This window comes from Homo sapiens, chromosome 11 (genome assembly GCF_000001405.40).
Source record: "Homo sapiens chromosome 11, GRCh38.p14 Primary Assembly".
Classification (NCBI taxonomy): Eukaryota; Metazoa; Chordata; class Mammalia; order Primates; family Hominidae; genus Homo; species Homo sapiens.
In genome coordinates, this window is record NC_000011.10 from 107735746 (window position 1) to 107743166 (window position 7421).

The 7421-nt window shown below is 40.7% G+C and overlaps 1 pseudogene, besides 3 other annotated features; it reads right to left on the reverse strand.

Annotated features, from left to right (window-relative positions):
• On the reverse strand, nt 221-3016 carry LOC203930 (sorting nexin 7 pseudogene; annotated as a pseudogene).
• Nucleotides 5381-5881: an enhancer, noted in NCBI's record as "H3K4me1 hESC enhancer chr11:107611852-107612352 (GRCh37/hg19 assembly coordinates)". NCBI's record gives its function as "activates a minimal SCP1, AML or CMV promoter by ChIP-STARR-seq in naive H9 embryonic stem cells {active_cell/tissue: H9 hESC(naive)}" and the evidence as "EXISTENCE:reporter gene assay evidence [ECO:0000049][PMID:30033119]".
• Nucleotides 5455-5584: an enhancer, noted in NCBI's record as "active region_5473". NCBI's record gives its function as "activates an Ori minimal core promoter by ATAC-STARR-seq in GM12878 lymphoblastoid cells {active_cell/tissue: GM12878}" and the evidence as "EXISTENCE:reporter gene assay evidence [ECO:0000049][PMID:35858748]".
• Nucleotides 5882-6382: an enhancer, noted in NCBI's record as "H3K4me1 hESC enhancer chr11:107612353-107612853 (GRCh37/hg19 assembly coordinates)". NCBI's record gives its function as "activates a minimal SCP1, AML or CMV promoter by ChIP-STARR-seq in naive H9 embryonic stem cells {active_cell/tissue: H9 hESC(naive)}" and the evidence as "EXISTENCE:reporter gene assay evidence [ECO:0000049][PMID:30033119]".

A 7421-nucleotide genomic window follows, 5' to 3' on the forward strand; every position in this document is an offset into this window, starting at 1 on the left:
ATCCATTTCCTATAGATTTTCCAATTTCTGTGCATAAAGGCTTTCCTAATAGTCTCTGAGGGTCTTTTGTGTTTCTGTGGGATCAGTTGAATGTCACATTTGTCATTTCTGATTGTGATTATTAGCATCTTCTCTCTTTTTTCTTTGTTAATCTAGGTAGTGGTCTATTGATCTTGTTTATTATTTCAAGGCACCAACTTTTGGTTACATTGATCTTTTTTTCATATTAAACTTTTTATTAAAACTAAGTCCTTACAACATATTTACAATATCATGTTCCACAGTCAAATATTTAACAGAAAAATCTATACACAATTATTGGCACACAAATTCAAGAACATAATTAAAACCAAGCTAAATCTCTCTCTCTGTATCTATATATCTATATATGTATAGACATATATCCATACAAATAGATATATAGATATATCATCAAATTCATGTTAATGAACTGGAGTACCTGAGGTTTCAAGTTGTTGGTTTTTCCAGATAGTATAAAACATTTGTCATCCACTTTATAAAGGACATGGCAGATCCAGAAAGAATAACTTTGGTTGATAAATGTTGTCTCCCAAAGATTAAACAGAAGTCCTTAGTGGGATTAAGGTTTATCTTCAGAGGCTTCTTCCAAGTGGAGGTTGGTGATGTGAGGAATGGTTCCCATGTAGTAAGGCACTGTTCATAATAGTGGATACTCTCCTCAGCCATATCTGTAAATGCTAACGATATCATTTTGCATATTTTGTTGCCATCTTTCCCATTCTGCTTTCAGGGCATTATTAACATATTCTACTTTATCTTCAAGTTTTCCAATCTCCTCTGTAAGCAGATCACTATCTGTCTTTTTATAGGTCAAAGCTTCAACTTTGGAATCCAGTTCTGCTTGTATTTGGTCTCTTCTTTTCATAACACCCATTAACATTTCACTATAAAGCACGTACTCATGTACAACAGGAAGCAGGGCCTCTGAGAGTCCAGACTTCCATTTTTCAGTGGCCTTACAGCATCTGTCAATGCAGCTGTCAACATCTTTTAGAGTATCAACCAGATCCTCTTCTGACACTAACCACAGAATATGAATTGGACCATATTCTTTCATTTCATCAAAATATTCCCTTTCTTCCTTGAAAATTCTCCAAGATATTTTATCTATCAAATTTGTTTTCTGGCTAAAAATTTCAATAAAGTTATTCATTTCCATGAACTCTTCTAGGCGGTTTTTTTAAATGTCTTTTAATTGGGGCTTTTAGCCCATTTACATTTAAGGTTAGTATTTTGTTTGTTTGTTTTGTTTGTTTTTGTATACTTTAAGTTCTAGAGTACATGTGCACAATGTGCAGGTTTGTTACATATGTATACATGTGCCATGTTGGTGTGCTGCACCCACTAATTCATCATTTACATTAGGTATTTCTCTTAATGCTATTTCTCTCCCCTCCCCCCACCCCACAACAGGCCCCAGTGTGTGATGTTCCCTGCCCTGTGTCCAAGTGTTCTCATTGTTCAGTTCCCACCTATGAGTGAGAATATGCAGTGTTTGGTTTTCTGTCCTTGCGATAGTTTGCTCAGAATGATGGTTTCCAGCTTCATCCATGTCCCTACAAAGGACATGAACTCATCCTTTTTTTATGGCTGCATAGTATTCCATGGTGTATATGTGCCACATTTTCTTAATCCAGTCTATCATTGATGGACATTTGGGGTGGTTTCAAGTCTTTGCTATTGTGAATAGTGCTACAATAAACATACGTGTGCATGTGTCTTTATAGTAGCATGATTTGTAATCCTTTGGATATATACCCAGTAATGGGATGGCTGGGTCAAATGGTATTTCTAGTTCTGGATCCTTGAGGAATCACCACACCGTCTTCCACAATGGTTGAACTAGTTTATAGTCCCACCAACAGTGTAAAAGTGTTCCTATTTCTCCACATCCTCTCCAGCACCTGTTGTTTCCTGACTTTTTAATGATCCTGACTTTTTAACAATGGCCATTCTAACTGGTGTGAGATGGTATCTCATTGTGGTTTTGATTTGCATTTCTCTGATGACCAGTAATGATGAGCATGTTTTTATGTGTCTGCTGGCTGCATAAATGTCTTCTTTTGAGAAGTGTCTGTTCATATCCTTCATCCACTTTTTGATGGGGTTGTTTGATTTTTTTTTCTTGTAAATTTGTTTAAGTTCTTTGTAAATTCTGGATATTAGCCCTTTGTCAGATGAGTAGATTGCAAAAATTTTCTGCCATTCTGTAGGTTGCCTGTTCACTCTGATGGTAGTTTCTTTTGCTGTGCAGAAGCTCTTTAGTTCAGTTAGATTTCTGGGTGGTTTTTAATTCCTCTCATTGAGGATGCAACAGTTCTGACTGTTGGCCCCATCCTGCTTAGCAATCCAGGACCCTGCTTCTTGTGAGAAGAGAGTTATGCAGTGAGAAAAATTTTGAAGACCTTATTAAATGTTAAAGTTGGATGATCAGCAGTTCGGCTCAAAAATTTATGTAAAGCCTTCCTGCATGTCTCAATGAAGTCATCTTTAAAGTGTTCCACCATTCCTTTTACTATAAATTTTTCTGGAAATGGTGGAATATTCAGAGTGGGTTGTGCTTCTTCAAGTTTTCTCTTCAACCAAAGGAAACCTTGATACCGTCTCCTAACTTCAAATTCACTGGAGTCAAATTCTCCACAAGATGACTTAGTAATAATGCTATACGTAATGAAAGTTTCTATTGTAGTAACATAACTTTCAGGTTTATCAACTGTAATGAAGTGTTCCTTTAAATCTCGTTCATCTTCAAACTTGATTTGGTTTATCATTGATAAAGGGGATGTTGGCATCATAGTGCTGAAGGAATTCATGTCCATCAGTGAGGCATAGTTGCTGAAAACCTCCAGGTCATCCTCGTCCTCGTCCAGAGCCAGCACCTCCACCTGCAGCAGGGCGGAAGAGCCACTGCTGCCCAAGAAACGGGCACCGGAGGCCCAAGGAGCGTACCTGAGATGCCCGGCACTTGCTCTCCTACATTGATCTTTTGTATGGATTTTCAAGTCTCAATTTCATTGAGTTCTCTGATTTTACTTATTTCTTTTCTTCAGCTAGATTTTGGGTTGATTTGTCCTCTTTTTTCTAGTTCCTTTAGGTGCAATGTTAGATTGTTAATTTGAGATTTTCTAGCTTCTTGATGTAGGTGTTTGGCCCTACAAACTTTACTCTTAACACTGCTTTAGCTGCATCCAAAAGATTTTGGTATGTTGGGTATGTACTTTTATTGGTTTCAGAGAATTTTTTGATTTGTGTCTCGATTTTATTGTACACCCAAAAGTCATTCAGGAGCAAGTTGCTTAATTTCCATGCAATTATGTGGTTTTGAGATATCTTCCTGGTATTGATTTCTATTTTTATTGCCCTATGGTCCTAAAATGTGCTTAGTATGATTTCGATATTTTTTAATTTACTGAGACTTGCTTTATGGTTGAGCGTGTGGTCAAACTTAGAATATGTTTCGTGTGCAGATGAGAAGAATGTATGTTCTGTAGCTGTTGGGTAGAGTATTCTTTTAGATGTCTATTAGGTCCAATTGGTTGAGTGTCAAGTCCAGAATTTCTTTGTTAGTTTTCTGCCACATAATCAAACACTGTCAGTAAGGTGTTGAAGTCTCCCACTATTATTGTGTGGCTCTCTAATCCTTTTCGTAGGTCAAGAACTTGTTTTATGAATCTGGGTGCTCCAATGGTGGGTATGTATATATATTTAGAATAATTAAGCCTTCTTGTTCAATTGAACCCTTTATTATTATGTAATGCCCTTCTTTGTCCTCTTGACTATTGTTGGTTTAGTGTCTGTTTCATCTCATGTAAGAATAGCGACTCCTACCTTCTTTTGTTTACCATTTGCATGATAGATCTTTCTCCAGCCATTTACTTTGAGCTTGTGGGTGTCATTACATGTGAGGTGAGTCTCTTGAAGGTGAAAGATAATTGGATGCTGTCTTTTTATCTAACTTGCTACTCTATGCCTTTTAAGTGGGGGGTTTAGATCATTTACATTCAGGATTAATATGGATATGTGAGATTTTGATACTGTCATCATGTTGTTAGCTGGTTGTTTTGTATACTTGATTGTGTAGTTGTTCTATAGTGTTCGTGGACTATGAGCTTAAGTGTGTTTTTGTGGTAGCAGGTATTGTTCTTTTGTTTCCATGCTTAGCTCTCCCTTAAAGACCTCTTGTAAGCCTGGTCTAGTAGTAATCAATTCCCCCTTGTGTTTGCTTGTCTGAAAAGGACTTTATTTCTCCCTTGTTTATGAAGCTTAGTTTGGCAGGATACAAAATTCTTGGCTGGAAATGCTTTTTTTTTTTTTTTAAGGATACTGCAATTAGGCCCCCAGTCCTTTCTGGTTGTAAGGTTTCTGCTGAGAGGTCCACTGCTAGCCTGATGGAGTTCCCTTTGTAAGTGACCTGACCCTTCTCTCTAGCTGCCTTTAAGATTTTTTTCTTTCATGTTGACCTTGTGTCTTGGGGCTGGTCATCTTGTATAGTATCTCAGAGCGGTTCTCTGTATTCCTTGTATTTGCCGTCTCTCTAGTGAGATTGGGGAACTTTTTGTGGATTACATCCTCACATATGTTTTCCAAGTTGCTTACTCTCTCTCCTTCCTTCTCAAGAACGTCAATGACTCATAGGTTTGGTTTCTACAAAATCCCATATTTCTTGGACATTTTGTTCATTTTCTTAAATTCTTTTTTTTTTTTTTGTCTGAGTTGATTTGAAGAACTGATCTTGATGCTCTGAGATTCTTCAGCTTAGTCTATTCTGTTGCTAATGCTTCTAATGGTATTATGGAATTCTTGTGGTGAATTTTTTAATTCCAGAAGTTCAGTTTGGTTCTTTCTTAAAATGGCTATTTCGTCTTTCAACTATTGTATTATTTTACTGGATTCCTTGAATTCCTTGGATTGGGTTTCAACTTTCTCCTGAACCTTAATGAGCTTCCTTGCCATCCAGATTCTGAATTCTATATGTCATTTCAGTCATTTCACTCTGGTTAGGAACTATTGCTGGAGAGCTAATGTACTCATTTGGAGGTAAGGAGACACTGTAACTTTTTGGATTGCCAGAGTTCTTATTGCTGATTCTTTCTCATCTAAGAGGACTGGTGTTCCTTGTCTTTTTGGATTTGCTGTCATTTGGATATTGTTTTTATATACTTCATTTCCCTTGAGGGTTCTGTGGTGTAAGTTGAGTATAGTCAATAAGCCTTTGTTTCTGGGTGTTTTCAGAGAGCCAAAGCTCTGTGCAAGATCTTTATTTGTGGCTAGATTCTTGCCCTGCATTTCACAGATAATGTATATTGGAAGAGTATTTTTGGTGTTGTAACTTGGGCTGTCATCCAGTAGACGGCGCTTAAGAGTAATGGCCAACAGATATGCTCTTATTTAGCTGAGTAGCTCTTCCGTATTTCAGTGGGTTTATTGCAGTGCTCTGTGGTGGGGAGGGAAGAGAGATGACTTCTTTACCAGGTCCATTCCCCTGCCTTAGGGGAGGTCCCTCCTAACACTGGCACCATGCCAACATTGCCTTCGTTAGGTGTTCCAGGTCACAGGGCTCCTTCAGGCAGAGGCTTTGCCTGCCAGACAGGCCTCACCCTTCCCAGACTGGCACTTTTGAGGGAGGCATACCCCATTCCTGCACCTGCCCAGGAACCCGCTTCTTACTCTTCTCAGTGTTCTGAGTGTGCAGGTTCCTCTCCCACTTAATCACTGGCCAGATCTCAGCCTGCCACTTCTGAGCTATGTGCTGCAACCCAGGGGTATTGGAATCTGGCCTGCAGCTTCATCCTCTGCGTTGGGCATTGGTTGTGCTGGGGGAGCTGGAGTGCTCTCAGGCTGTGAGGAAAGCACTCTGCCTGGGCAGTGGAGGCCGTGCTGTGTACCTGCTCTTGTAGGAGTGGCCAGGCAGGGGCCTTGGGAGGGGCTGGTGGATAGAGGAGCATGCAGAACAGACATGCCCCAGTCCCACAGGAAAGATGGCCCCACTCTCTCCTGGCCCAGCAGCCAGCCAAGGTTAGAGCTACTCAGAGGAAGACAGAGAATCCTGTGGGATGGGTGCCTGTGGCCACATTTTGCTGCAGCTTCTCCATGTGCAAAACCTTCTAGGCTCTGCACAGCCTGGAGCACTGTTTCTGCCTACTCTCCAGGCAGATTCCCTTGACAATTCAAACATCTGTAGGAGTCATGGGACCTCTTGTAGCTAATATCTGAGAGGTCTGTGGTGAGAGTGGGTTACCCCGCCATCACTTCACTCACCCCTTCCTTAGGAGCTGTTCAGGGCCGGGAACCAGTCCCAGTGCTCTGCAAACCTGTGCAGGGTTCCCAGCTTCCTCCCTCTTCAGTCTCAGTGTCTGCCTTACCTCTCTATTACTCTGTGTTTTCTCTCCAAAGATCTGTCCTAAGGATGTTGGTTTATTCAATATTTTGGTCTCTCTCATTGGGAGATGCTCCTTGACTGTATCTATTGGCCATCTTGTCACCTCCATCCACTTTTTTTTTTTAAGCTGGAGTTTCACTCTTGTCGCCCAGGCTGGAGTGCAGTGGCACAATCTCCAGTCACCACAACCTCCGCCTCCTGGGTTCAAGCGATTCTTCAGCCTCAGCCTCCCAAGTAGCTGAGATTACAGGTGCCTGCCACCACACCTGGCTAATTTTTGTATTTTTAGTACACACAGGGTTTCACCGTGTTGGCCAGGCTGGTCTCAAACTCCTGACCTCAGGTGATCCACCTGCCTTGGCCTCCCAAAATGCTGGGATTACAGGCATGAGCCACGGTGCCCAACCCATCCAATATTTTTAAATGATAAAATATATTCTCAATTCCCCTTCTATCCTCTTTCTCTCTTTAAAGTTATAAATCTTATGTTCGTCCCTGCAGCCACTCACCTGGAGAAGAAGGCTTGTTTAAAATGCCAAATTGGCCAGTAGCAGTGGCTCACGCCTGTAATTCCAGCACTTTGGGAGGCTGAGGTGGGTGGATCACTTGAAGCCAGGAGTTTGAGACCAGCCTGGCCAACATGGTGAAACCCCATCTCTACTAAAAATACAAAAATTAGCCAGGCATGGTGGCAGGTGCCTGTAATCCCAGCTACTAGAAAGGCTGAGGCATGAGAATTGCTTGATCTTGGGAGGTGGAGGTTACAGTGAGCCAAGATCATGCCACTGCACTACAGCCTCTGCAACAGAGTGAAACCCTGTCTCAAAAATAAAATAAAATGCCAAGTTGACTTAGATAAGTAAGCAGAACACAGGAAAGAAGTTCATTTCCATTCTATCATTCCATAGGAATCAGCCAAAAACTTGCTGAAAGTGGAAATTCAGTTTTGCCATAAAAGGACCCCTTTAATGATTTATCTTTCACCTCTATGTAACTCTGT